Genomic DNA, 12,831 nt, shown 5'->3' with positions numbered 1-12,831 from the left:
CTCTACCTAGCCTAAAATAATTTTAGACAAGAGTTGGTAATAATTGCTCATTCAATTTGATTGATTCATTTTCTCGAAGTGCCTATGAATTTGTTTCAGTAAAGCCTGAATCTGGTCTCCAGCATCTGAAATAATCTTTCTCACCCACCTAAACCTTCTAACCACAAGGTTCTGATGAAAAATGGTGAATCACAACAGGAAGAATACACTTACTTTATTCATGACCACAATGAAAGGCAGCTTGGTTTTGTATAAGATGCTGAAAACCAAACATTGAGAAGTTATTAGTAAAAGCACATAAGCTCTTGCTCATCCAGTGTCAGCATGTCGGGACTAAGTAAGAGAACAGAAATGAGTTCAGAATCTAAAAAGTAGTCATCCATTTTTACATAACATCATATAGTCTCTGCCAACAGGAAAACAACTACCACCCAGAAGCAACACACACACTCTCACTCTTGTTTGAAGTAATAATGCCTTAATATTGAACTTGTTTTTGTTTTGTTTTTTAACCAAATTGGTATTTTTCAGAGAAGGAAATGAACATTTACTGAATACCTATTACAGGTTGAGAATTTCCTATCTAAAATACTTGGGACCAGAAGTGTTTTTTATTTCAGATTTTGGAATATTTGTAAATACTTATTGGTTGAGCATCCCAAATCTGAAAATCCAAAATCCTCCAATAACCATTTCCTCTGAGTGTCATGTCAGTGTCTAGAATGTCTCACATTTTGGAGCATTTCAGATTTCAAATTTTTGGATAAGGGATGCTCAATCTGTATAGTCTAGGCACTGTGCTAATAAGCACTTTCATAAGTATTATCTCCTTTATTCTTTACAAATAACATGTAAATATATACAATTTTTATTTGTCAATTATACCTCAATAAGGCTGGGAAAAGAATATTAAAATTTTTTTCAATCTGTAAAGTAACATCTTAAAAATGTTTCTACCCCTACCTTTATTGAGGTATAGTTGACAAATAAAAATTATATATATTTAAGGTGTACAAAGGGATATTTTGATACACAGTTGACCCTTAAACAACATAGGTTTGAACTGCAAGGTTTACTCATATGCACCTTTTCTTCCACCTCTGCCACCCAGAGACAGCAAAACCCAACCCCTACTCTTAGACTACTCAAAGTGAAGACGATTAGGATGAAGAGTTTTATGACGATCTACTTCACTTAATGAACAGTTAATATATCTTCCCCTTATTTTCTCTAGCTTTATTATATGAATACAGCATATAATACATATAATATATATGTAATGTGTGTTAATCTACTGTTTATGTTACCAGCAAGGTTTCCAATCAACAGTAGGCCTTTAGTAATTAAGTTTGGGGGGAGTCAAAGTTTTATATTTTGTAGAGATGGGGTTTCACCATGGTGCCCCGGCTGGTCTCTGCAGGGGTTGGCGCCTCTAACCCCCAAATTGTTCAAGGATCAACTGTATGTTTCATCATGAAATGATTACCAGCTGGGGGTGTGACTCATGCCTGTAATCTGAGCACTTTGGGAGGCCACGCTGGGAGGACTGCCTGAGCCCACGAGTTCAAAACCAGCCTGGGCAGCATGGCGAGACCCCACCTCTAAAAATAAATTAATTAATTTTTTTAAAAAGAAATGATTAACACTATCAGGCAAATCAAATAATTTTCTTTTAAACAATTAATATGAAAATGGGCCAGGCACAGTGGCTCATGCCTGTATTCCCAGCACTTTGGGAGGCCAAGGCGGGCAGATCACTTGAGGTCAGGAGTTTGAGACCAGCCTGGCCAACAAGGTGAAACCCCGACTCTACTAAAAATACAAAATTAGCCAAGTGTGGTGACTACTCAGGAAGCTGAGGCAGGAGAATCACCTGAACCCAGTAGGCGGAAATTGCAGTACGGTGAGATTGTGCCACTGTACTCCAGCCTGGGTGACAGAGCAAGACTCCGTCTCGAAAAAATATAAATAAATAAATAAATAAATAATTAATATGAAAATGAAATAATGCTGTCAATCTTCAGATTTCTATTTGGATCACAATTTCTTGCATCCACCAAAAAGGGACATCCCTTGTCATATCAGAAAAGACAAATGTTGGTGATGGCATTTGTGTACCCTCAAAATTAAATTCTCTCAGCTTTAATAACTGTCAGCCTTGCTCCTCAGTCTTAATGCACTAATCTAGTGAGGCATGCCCTTCCTCTGCTAATGGTGCCACATTTGGGGCAAACCAGTGCATTTTATTTTTTTGAGACAGGGTCTCACTCTGTTGCCCAGCCTGGAGTACAGTGACATCATCACAGCTCACTCCAACCTTGGCCTCCCAGGCTCAAGCAATCCTTCCACCTCTGCCTCCCAGGTAGCGGGGATTACAGGCACACACCACCATCCCTGGCTAATTTTTTGTATATTTTGTAGAGATGGGGTTTCACCATGGTGCCCAGGCTGGTCTCAAACTCCTGGGCTCAGGCGATCCTCCCACCACAGCCTCCCCAAGTGCTGGGATTATAGGCATGAGCCACCATGCCTGGCCACCTGTGCATTTTACAATTATGGATAAATCTTCTTATTCATGGTATCTCCTCATGTTACAATTTCACTCTACCAGCATCATTTAGGCCAGAGGACTCTATTCTTCTCTCTCTCTCTCGTTGCCCCAGGCTCTTGTTGCCCCAAGCCGGAGTGCAGTGGCACAATCATGGCTCACTACAGCCTCAACCACCTGAGCTCAAGCAATCCTCCCACGTCAGCCTCCCAAGTAGCTGGGACTACAAGGGCGTGCCACCACGCTGGCTAATTTTAAAACATTTTTTGTAGAGACAGAGTCTTGCTATGTTCCCCAGCCTGGTTTCAAACTCCCAAGCTCAAACGATCCTCCCACCTTGGCCTCCCAAGTGTAGGGATGACAGACCCAGCCCAGAGGACTTTATCTTTAAACTTGGATTTTATCCAACTGGGAACAACTATCAGACAGTTCATATTCATACATCACCTTTTTGTAACAACAAGGGAGGAAGATCAGAGGGTATTGAGAGAGAATGCCAACAGCACATGTGCCTCTTTTCTCCTCTGACCTTCCCCAGCTCACAGCCACTCAACTGAACAGCAAATCTGAATGAGCACAAATCCAGGGGTAAGCAACCAGATTCAAAAAAAAAAAAAAAAGAGGAAGAAGAAGAGAAAAAGGCCTTATACCTTGATGGAACACTTTCCCCACCAACAATCAATTACCTGCAGGCATAGAGCATGTTGGACATGAAGGTCACTGGGTTGGTACTTCTCGATGTGTCCATTACATAGATGACAACTGTTGGAAATGAGGATGCCTAAAGCCACAAAAAAATCAAAGCCTTGGTCAGAGGGCTCACGATCTGTCCTCAAACTCTTTTTCCACCATCCTTAACAAGGGAAAACCACTTTAGGCAGGGTGTGCAGAGCTTCTACAACTTCCTCCCATATAAAGTCCAAGGCAATTAAAAATAAATGCTCATCCAGTCTAGCCCCTCTAGCTACTCTCAGTAGCAAGTCCTAGAATACTCACAAGGGCTTCAGTGATAATTGTCCCAGAAGCTGACCAGGTGAATACCTCAATCTGTCCAGGTGTGTCAATCAACACATATCTATGTCAAGAAAGATCATTAAAGAAGTGTTACATTTGTGTTATGCTGAAGGATATTCCATCATATAAGACAATAAACATCTGGTTATCCAAGACTGGAGTAACCTCTGCACACTGCCAAATCTAACTTCCTCCTACTGGCCCTAAACTGCACATGATGATCCCCTAGACTTTGTTCAATGACCAATATTCACGCCAATGGGCAGGAACAGCAGACCATGAGTTGCTGCAAATGATCACAGGGGAAACTTTTATAGAAACACAATGCATTTAAAATGAAAGACACAAAACCAGAATGTAAATCTCTTGGGAAACATCTGGTTGCTTAGGGCGGGGGTGAGTGTGGAACAGAGGAAGAAGAATGGGAGGAATGGGAAAGTGCTAGCTGAAGAATATCAGGTTACTTCTTGAGATGATGAAAATATTCTAAAATTGACTGTGGTGATAGTTGTACAATTCTGTGAATATACTAAAAGCCACTGAATTGTATACCTTAAATGGGTGAATTGTATGGTATGTGAATTATCTCAATAAAGCTGTTTTTATGAACTATATCAACTTTTTTGTGAATTAATTTGATATAATTATGAATTATATCAGAATTTTTTTAATTGGCAAAGAATTCTAATAGACATTTCTCTAAATATATACATACCAATGGCCAATAAGTACATTAAAAAGATGTTCAATATCATTAGTTATTAAGAAAATAAAAGTAAAAACCACAATGAGATACCACTCTATATCCACTAGAATGGCTATAATCAAAAACAAGAAGAATAACAAAAGTTGGCAAGGTTATGGAGGAACTGGTTGTGGAGAAATCATATTGCCAATGGGAATGGAAAATGGGGTAGTCACTAGGGGCTAAAGGGAACAGAAAATAAGGAGTGATTGGTAATGAGTATGGGGTTTCTTTTCAGGATGACAAAAATATTCTGAAGATAGTAATTATCAACACACGACTCTGTGGACAGACTAAAACAACCATACACTTTAAACGAGTGAACTTTATGGTATATGAATTATATCTTAATAAAGCTGTCATTAAAAAAAAAAAAATACCTCCAGGCCAGGCTCAGTGGCTCACACCTATAGTTCCAGCACTTTGGGAGGTTAAGCCGGGCAGATCACTTGAGGTTAGGAGTTTGAGACCAGTCTGGCCAACATGGTGAAACCCCATCTCTACTAAAAATACAAAAATTAGTCAGGCATGGTAGCAGGCCACCTGTAATCCCAGCTACTCAGGAGGCTGAGGCAGGAGAATCGCTTGAACCCGGGATGCAAAGATTGCAGTGAGCCAAGATCACACCACTGCACTCCAGCCTAGGCAATAGAGCGAGACTCCATCCCAAAAATACAAAAATACAAAAATTAGCCAGGTGTGGTGGCTCACACCTGTAGTCCCAGCTACTTGGGAGGCTGAGGTGGGAGGATCACCTGAGCCAGGGAGGTGGAAGTTACAGTGAGCTGAGATCACTACACTGTACTCCAGCCTGGGCGACAGAGCAAGACCCTGTCTCAAAACAAAACAAAAGCTACCTCTAGTACCCCATTTTTGTAAAAGCACTTTTATCCATTCATCCTTCTATCTGTGTATATAGAAATGTGGAATGCTAGTCGCTGAATGATGATGTTACTTCTAGTGGGAATCGGGGTGATGGTTTCATCTTATAAATATCATGCATGGTTTGAATTTTTATAAAACAATAAATTATCTTTTTTAAAAAAAGTAAACCTTGAACAACAGCTAACTGGGTAATGGCCATAAGAACAAATATTTCCTATTCTGACACTCTGTAAATTAAAAAATTTTCTCTGAACCATGTAGACTATATTCATTTAAATAAGAATTAGAAAGGTATTTCAGATACTTTAATGACAACAAGCATGGTTTCCCAAGAGAAGGCAGGTGGACAACTGAATTGGGACAAAGTCTCAAAAGAGCTCCTAAGAAGCCATGTAAATTGGGGATCAAAGTAATTGAGGATGAAATGATATTAAATTTAGCTCTATATTCTAAAGCATCTTAATGATTTGCCAATTTTTTTTTCACTCCTAATGGTTTCATCTCAATCTATATTCTTTCAGAGGCTGATGGTATCCCAGATCCTCCATGAAGCCTAGAAATATGTCAGCTACAGAGTAATAAATGGGTGTTACTGACATCACTTACTTGGACATGTTCTGGGCCTTCTCAATAAATTTCATCACCTAAAAGAAAAAGATGTCAATGACAACAAATTCCGATTTCAACACAAAATCACAGAGCCCTCTCCAGGGTGGCATACCTCACAGGCACTATCACCTACTGAATCCCTCAATCACCTACTGAACATTTGCAATCTTAGGACAACAAAGAATAAACAGGCTGAACTAAAGCAACACAGCCACATCAGCAGCACTCCAATACCATCTTGGGGCACAATCCAAGGATCTGAGAAGCTGAAGACTTTGATCTGTCAATGTCAAGTTGTTATCTCTTGTCAAAATGTTAACAGCCTGTCTCATGGCCTAACATCAGAGTATAAAAACCAGTGATTATAAAACACTCTTATGGAAGTAGGTGACAAAGAAAACCTAAAGAATGACAAATATTTATCACAAGTAAAATGCCCCATCATCTTTCCATTCCATGACTGCTAGTCCATCCCACTCCCAAATACCCCCATCCCAGCTTCGGGGTAATACCACAGGCAAAGAACAGGTCAAGAAAATAACCCAGGTCTTTTGGATTTTTATTAGCTGTCACAAATATTAAATTTGAAGTGTCTGACCATACTGATCACCTTCTCATAGTCTACTTCTCTGTCTGACAAAATGCCTACTTATTTTCTATATTTATGCTCAGGTTTGCTGCTCTTCTTTACCAATGTGATCAAGCTAAGGAATTTAAGAGTCACAGATTTTTACACAACCATATTAATATACTAAAGACAGATATACCTGATCAAATCTGGTAGCAAAGAGATTGAGTGAGGTCACTATGCCGCCATTGGGTCCAAGTCCATATCTAGACACCAAGTTGAGGACTGAAATCGCTTATAGATTAGATTATAAAGTTCATACCTAGGCTATCATTCACACAAACGGCATTATGAAATTAGTGTTCCATTAATGGATACTGGCAACCTAATCCTTGACTACCATACAAACTTAACCACACAGGGAAACAGTCATTATCAAGGTCTGGCTCACTCATTTGATTTAAGGAGTGGTCAGGCAAAATGAAGAAAGCAAAGTGACCAAAATGTAATACAGGTGCATCAGGCAGTGACAGCCCACTGGCATTGGTCATTAAGGCCACCTGTATAACACCTCCGGCTCTGATCCTCATAAATAAACCAAGCAATCTGCTGATTATGATTAGTCTTCCTACTTAGACTTGCCTACGGAGAGAGTACACATTTCATACAGCAATTTACTAAGAGTTAATCCAACTAAACTCACTCATTTCTGAGTTTCCCAGTCTAAAGAGGTGGTGACCAACAGATGATCCTCCAAGGCAAAATACTACCTTGTGGGACCCAGGTAGCTGTCAGTTATCCTATCATACTCTCTGCTCTTTAATTACAACAGCCTGCCATCTGGGGAGATGGTAAGAAAACTAAAATCTCAAGCTGAAATAGTATTTCTGATCACCTACCTCTCCCACAATCAGCTTCCATCCTTTTGCTTGTATATTTCACAAGGAAAAGGCAAAAACACTCTTTCAAGCCACAAAATACACAGACAAGAAGCCAGGAATGAGTCAAGACCAAAGTAGATGGAAAAGGATACTGTTTCATTACTTCTTTATACTTTACAGTATCACGAATATCTGAGGAGAAAAAAAAGAATTAACTGGAATGTAATACATACACATTCCCTACCACCAGGAAAGTAAAACTGGCCTTCTAGCCTTCTCCTGTCAGCATTCTCTTCTACCACCTCCACTTTCACACTGGTTTCCTTCCTTACAAAGAATAAATGCCAAGTAAATCATGAAGAATGTTAGGGCTAGGAGCTCTAAAGTTGTGGCAAAGAGTTTTGTCTCCACAAAGTGCAAAGTTTCATGCAACTTAAACATGCCTAGAAAAAGGGAGGCAAAAATCAAGGGGGAAAAAATGCTTCTTACTAATTGCCTATTACTGACAAAGGCAACACAATGGCAATGCAGACATGATTTTTTAAAAGGAGTTAGGCTGGGCACAGTGGCTCACACCTATAATCCCAGCACTTTGGGAGGCCAAGGCAGGAGGATTACTTGAGCCCAGGAGTTCAAGACCAGCCTGGGCAACATAGAGAGGCCTTGTCTCTCCAAACAAAACAAAACTAGCCCAGCATAGCGGCAGGAGGCTGAGGTGGGAGGATCACTTGAGCCTGGGATGTTGAGGCTGCAGTGACCTGTGAATCACGCCACTGCACTCTGGCCTGGGTGACAGAGACTCTGTCTAAAAAAAAAAAAAAAAAAAAAAAAACCTAAGCTGTTTAGGAATGCAAGCAAATCCAAAGGAAATGAAAGTAGATAGTTTAGAAAACATGAAAAAAGAAGGCACTGAAGACTGGCAGGCTGGAGGCTTTACAGAGTCTCACTCTATTGACCAGGCTGGAGTGCAGTGGCACGATCTTGGCTCACTGCAACCTCTGCCACCCGGGTTCAAGCAACTCTCCTGCCTCAGCCTCCCGAGTAGCTGGAATTACAGGTGCCTGCCACCGTGCCTGGCTAATTTTTTGTATTTTTAGTAGAGATGGAGTTTCACCATCTTGGCCAGGCTGGTCTTGAACTCCTGACCTCGTGATCTACCTGCCTCGGCCTCCCAAAGTGCTGAGATTACAGCCGTGAGCCACCACGCCTGGCCTTTTCCATTCTCTTTAAAGCACTGCACACAAGTTATGTTACTGGTTTACTCACCAATATTGGCAGGAAAGGGAACTTCATGTACTGCTGGATCCAGGTTGATCACATACGGTGGAGTGCCTTGGGCATGCAGGTGTCCTGTGAGCCTCTGCAGAGATATGGGGAGAGGGTTGGAAGGAGACAAAGAGGGGACAAGAGAGAACTTCCATTCCTTTAACACCCATGCCTTAAGAATATTGCACTTAGATTTTCTTCTACCTGAAATATCCACCATGTCCACCTCCAAGATACAACTCTCAGTTCAAATGCTACCTTTCTTCATCACCCATCTAACAAAGCTTCCCCTACTCGTAGTCACTTGTTTACTTGTTTTGATTCTTCGTATGTGGGTTTTCTCTATCTCCTCCATTAAATATTTGGCCCCACGAATGAATCTTGTCAACCTCATTTTCGCTATATCCCCAGTGAATGGAACATGACAGGCGTGCAAGAAATATTTGGCAAATCTTCACCAAAACCTGTGTGCTAGCACTGTATTAATCTTTAAAGTTACTTGTAACTTGCCTCCGAGAAACGCAATTTTATCAGCAAGACAATTCCTGTACAACGTGGTAAGCTGGACCGAGTATGCCCTGAAGGTGCGCAGAAGAGAGCCTTAATTAACCTGGCTAGGGCCCGAGGAGGCTTTGCCGGGGAAGGAACTAAAGTTGATGGGAAGCCCCCGAAAGCCATGCGCCGGTACCCTCCAAATCCTCTTCCCTCCCTTTCTTCCTGGCCTTCCGCCTGCCGGAGGCAACCTTTTGCGCTCCCCTACTACACCCATGCTGTGTACGTCACCTGTACAAAAGTGGTTTTCCCGGATCCCGCCATTCCCAACACCAACAGACACACTGGGTGCCGCGGACCCCCAGAAGCCTGGAGCTCAGCGGCAGCTGCGGACGCCGCCATCTTCCTCCTGGCCCCACCCACCCGACCATAGAGACACCGCATGGGTAGAGAAACTTCCGCAATGTTCTGGGCTGCGAACGAAAACCACCACAGCGTCAGAAAGGAGCGGGTGAGGGGCGCGGCGGTTGCCAGGGCATCTTCTTAGCGTCGGGCAGGGCTGATGAGTCAACTAGTGACAGTGGCGAGGAAGTGGGGGCGCTGAGCAAGCGAGAGGAAGGCTGAAGGGAGCTAGGAAAAGGGCGCTGATCTCTGCAGCCTGGGAGGGCTTTTGTCTCCCGGAGGAAGGCCAGAAGAGATGGGGTCCCGAGGGCAGGGCTCACACAGCAAGAAAACGAGGAGCATGCCTGTCATTTTGAGCCCACAGAGAACGGGGAGCGGAGCCACTGGAGGACCGGCTGCTCGGGCTTATTCGGTAGCCGAGGCGGTTAAACAGTTCAGGGCTGGACCAGCCGGGACTGGAGCAGGGTGCAGTCTCCAGGGTTGCTGGGCAGCACCGAGACCCTTTGAGCACCGAACGAATAAACTACGGGAGCTTTCCACACTTGCACATTGTTCCCGCGAGTTGCAGACGCAGGTTCCTGATGCTAGCGCTCATTCCTTGGCAGTCACCCTCAGTGAACTACACAGTTGCCGTGACCTTCAGGATGAATGCTTGGATTCCAGGTGCAAGTAGGTACTGGAGGGGAGCTTCCTCCCCTCCAGTCACTGAAGGTCCCTCAGAAACTCAGGAAAGATGATGAAAGAGCCTAGAAAATTATTTCTACTCCTGACCACCCAGTCTGTTTCTGTGACCCTTTGTAGCTGCAAACAGTGTTCAGTAAGTCATAAGATCTGGCTTTAATACCCAGGCTCTGCCACTTGCTAGTGGTGTGAGTCATGGGCAAGTCACTTAAACTCTCTGAACCTGTTTTCTCCTTTTTTAAAACTGAGGTAATACCTCCCAGGGTTGTAGTGAATGCACGTTGTAAATGACGAGCTACATTCCTCATCCTTTACCACTAGCTGGATTCCCCACACCTTGCATAATGTCTGGAACATTCTGGTGCTCAGAAATATTCTCTTGTATGAATGAAGGACAGTTGTGCACTTACTTCCTAAAGTTTCATTAACTGACAGAGGAATGTCTCGTTTGTTCTTTCAGGTTTGCTGAGGGCCCCAGAAGGCTCCTTCCACCGTATCATAGTCTAATAAATAATTTTGTCAAGCCAGAGAAGCTAACAAAGGTAGAGACAAGGCTTAAAGAAAAGATAGTGGCGGAAATGACGGATCTGAACAAGCATATAAAACAAGCTCAAACCCAGCGGAAACAGCTACTGGAGGAATCCAGGGAGCTACACCGAGAAAAGTTACTTGTCCAGGCTGAAAACAGATTCTTTCTGGAATACCTGACTAACAAAACTGAAGAGTACACAGAGCAACCTGAGAAGGTATGGAACAGCTATTTACAAAAAAGTGGAGAGATTGAACGAAGAAGACAAGAATCAGCCTCCAGATATGCAGAACAAATTTCAGTGCTTAAAACAGCGCTCTTGCAAAAGGAAAATATCCAATCCAGTTTGAAGCGGAAGTTGCAGGCAATGAGGGACATTGCTATATTAAAGGAAAAGCAGGAGAAAGAAATACAGACATTACAGGAGGAGACAAAGAAAGTCCAAGCTGAGACAGCTTCAAAGACACGGGAAGTACAGGCCCAGCTCCTCCAGGAGAAAAGATTACTGGAGAAACAACTGAGCGAGCCAGACAGGAGGCTACTGGGAAAGAGAAAAAGAAGAGAGCTTAATATGAAGGCCCAGGCCTTGAAGTTGGCAGCAAAGCGGTTTATTTTTGAATACTCCTGTGGCATCAACAGAGAGAACCAGCAGTTCAAGAAGGAATTACTGCAGCTAATTGAGCAAGCCCAGAAACTAACGGCTACTCAAAGCCACTTAGAAAACAGGAAGCAGCAGCTGCAGCAGGAACAGTGGTATCTGGAGTCCTTAATCCAGGCGAGGCAGAGACTGCAAGGAAGTCATAATCAGTGCCTAAATAGACAGGATGTTCCAAAGACCACACCCAGTCTTCCCCAAGGCACCAAATCAAGGATTAATCCAAAGTAACTTCTAAAATAACACTGATTAAATAAGAACTGGAGCAAGTACTCTTAAGTGCTACATTAACCTGGTTAGAAAGGCTGTTGGATTCCAGATTGCTATTGTAAAATCTCCATCATGATGTGTTGGAGTGAAGGATTAGATGGTTTTATCCAACAGTCCTACTAGATATTTGGTAACCAGCTTCCCTTAACTAGCTTTTTCTTTAAATACTCGTTAATAAGCTATTCCACAAACCTCCAGTTAACCTAACACATGACCCTAACCTAGCCATTTACCATACATCAAACTAGCTAAAGGAAACCAACCTAAGGAAGTGAAAACAGTTGTGATTTATTTCATCTAGCTAAATTGTATTTCTTTATAGAGAAAGTACCTTTAAGGATAGCATTCCAAATAGACTTTGAATAGCGTTCTGCCAGTTTATCCTCATTCCTTTTGACCAACTTAGCAGACAAAAGCAGTTTTTACAAGCTCTTTGTGAGTTTGTGCCAGTGACCAGGTAGCTCCTTCTAGTTTTCTCATGAGTGAAAAAGCATTCTGATAACAGCAAGTCCAGTAAGTGCTAGGCAGAGTGACCTTTCATCTGATGCTAAGCCCCTACAAGTTTGAGAAGGTAAGAAAAGATGAAGGAGACATATATTAGGTCAGCTCTTACTTTTGAAAATGTTTTATTTGAAGAAACACCTGTAGCATTGAGGTGACTGAATGCCTCCACTTATTTCAGGAAAACGTATCCAAAAAAAGTTGAAATATTTGGACAACTTTTTTTTTAAGTGCCATCGATTTCCCTAGCAGCATTCTAAAAGATAGCAAGTAAAATGATGTTTGTTATCCTAAATGCTTTAGTTTTAGGTCATTTATTAATTTTCTTACAGGTGCACTTTCTAGTACATGAAGTATCCTTTGTAATTAATGTGTGCCATATGTTTATTCCCATTTAGTATAACTATAAATTATATTTTAAATTATATATTTTTAGGATAGTTATATTTTTTTTGGGTTCTACGACATTGAAGTTGGACTAGTGATTTATTTGAATGCTGAATCCTAGTATAGGGGAATATAATCTTATATTTTAACAGGGGTCCTCTATGGGAAAATAGGATGAACTTTGTTTCCCAGAAATTGTTAAGTGATGAAAAACTTCAAAATAATTTTCCTGCATTTTCTGCTTTATTTACATGTAAAGTGAATTCCCTGAAAATTGGATTTAAAAAGCATTCTCCTTCAATGTGCCTTTACCTTGTAGCTTTAACAACTTTTCTGTTAAATATGTAGTTTTTTATTAAACAATGTTATTAAATAAAAACATTTATCCACTGATTTTA

At 41.6% G+C, this 12,831-nt stretch overlaps 2 protein-coding genes across 7 annotated transcripts in view, besides 4 other annotated features; one reads left to right on the top strand and one right to left on the bottom strand.

Annotated features, from left to right (window-relative positions):
• Nucleotides 1-10,222, bottom strand: part of GPN1 (GPN-loop GTPase 1) — a 23,265-nt gene extending 13,043 nt beyond the window's left edge. The window contains exons 1-9 of one of the 5 annotated variants that reach the window (NM_001145047.2): nucleotides 9,755-10,222; nucleotides 9,027-9,094; nucleotides 8,517-8,610; nucleotides 7,403-7,442; nucleotides 6,569-6,635; nucleotides 5,799-5,836; nucleotides 3,545-3,623; nucleotides 3,235-3,329; nucleotides 214-259 (exon numbers count right to left, since the gene is read on the bottom strand). In NM_001145047.2, the coding sequence (NP_001138519.1) occupies nucleotides 214-259; nucleotides 3,235-3,329; nucleotides 3,545-3,623; nucleotides 5,799-5,836; nucleotides 6,569-6,635; nucleotides 7,403-7,442; nucleotides 8,517-8,610; nucleotides 9,027-9,094; nucleotides 9,755-9,761 (534 nt within the window). In that variant the 5' untranslated portion in view covers nucleotides 9,762-10,222. Of the gene's footprint in view, nucleotides 1-213; nucleotides 260-3,234; nucleotides 3,330-3,544; nucleotides 3,624-5,798; nucleotides 5,837-6,568; nucleotides 6,636-7,402; nucleotides 7,443-8,516; nucleotides 8,611-9,026; nucleotides 9,095-9,299; nucleotides 9,420-9,754 lie in introns of those variants that run through there. The other 4 variants (NM_001145048.2, NM_007266.4, NR_026735.2 and 1 more) reach the window with 4 other exon arrangements.
• Nucleotides 9,175-9,274: an enhancer, noted in NCBI's record as "active region_15511". NCBI's record gives its function as "activates an Ori minimal core promoter by ATAC-STARR-seq in GM12878 lymphoblastoid cells {active_cell/tissue: GM12878}" and the evidence as "EXISTENCE:reporter gene assay evidence [ECO:0000049][PMID:35858748]".
• Nucleotides 9,315-9,624: an enhancer, noted in NCBI's record as "active region_15510". NCBI's record gives its function as "activates an Ori minimal core promoter by ATAC-STARR-seq in GM12878 lymphoblastoid cells {active_cell/tissue: GM12878}" and the evidence as "EXISTENCE:reporter gene assay evidence [ECO:0000049][PMID:35858748]".
• On the top strand, nucleotides 9,457-12,831 carry CCDC121 (coiled-coil domain containing 121). Of its 2 annotated transcripts, none has more exons than NM_024584.5 (2): nucleotides 9,457-9,519; nucleotides 10,552-12,831. In NM_024584.5, exon 2 carries the CDS (start codon nucleotides 10,670-10,672, stop codon nucleotides 11,504-11,506), a length of 837 nt encoding a protein of 278 aa, NP_078860.2. In that variant the 5' UTR covers nucleotides 9,457-9,519; nucleotides 10,552-10,669; the 3' UTR covers nucleotides 11,507-12,831. The 2 variants fall into 2 exon arrangements, with proteins under 2 accessions (NP_078860.2, NP_001136155.1); NM_001142683.3 differs by having other exon boundaries at nucleotides 9,457-10,073.
• Nucleotides 9,685-9,744: an enhancer, noted in NCBI's record as "active region_15509". NCBI's record gives its function as "activates an Ori minimal core promoter by ATAC-STARR-seq in GM12878 lymphoblastoid cells {active_cell/tissue: GM12878}" and the evidence as "EXISTENCE:reporter gene assay evidence [ECO:0000049][PMID:35858748]".
• Nucleotides 10,193-10,487: a silencer, noted in NCBI's record as "tiled region #1109; HepG2 Repressive non-DNase unmatched - State 2:TssF". NCBI's record gives its function as "represses a minimal TATA promoter and a strong SV40 promoter by Sharpr-MPRA in HepG2 cells {active_cell/tissue: HepG2}" and the evidence as "EXISTENCE:reporter gene assay evidence [ECO:0000049][PMID:27701403]".

This window comes from Homo sapiens, chromosome 2 (genome assembly GCF_000001405.40).
Source record: "Homo sapiens chromosome 2, GRCh38.p14 Primary Assembly".
Taxonomy (NCBI): Eukaryota; Metazoa; Chordata; class Mammalia; order Primates; family Hominidae; genus Homo; species Homo sapiens.
Note: the sequence above shows the minus strand (reverse complement) of the source record. Positions and strands in the feature narration are given on the sequence as shown.

What these genes read in the sequence shown, in the direction of transcription:
- CCDC121 (NM_001142683.3), top strand. Translation starts at nt 9,706, where the DNA reads ATGGGGTCCCGAGGGCAGGGCTCACACAGCAAGAAAACGAGGAGCATG. An exon ending in GATGAATGCTTGGATTCCAG is followed by an intron (nt 10,074 to 10,551) that starts GTGCAAGTAGGT and finishes TTGTTCTTTCAG; the next exon opens with GTTTGCTGAGGGCCCCAGAA.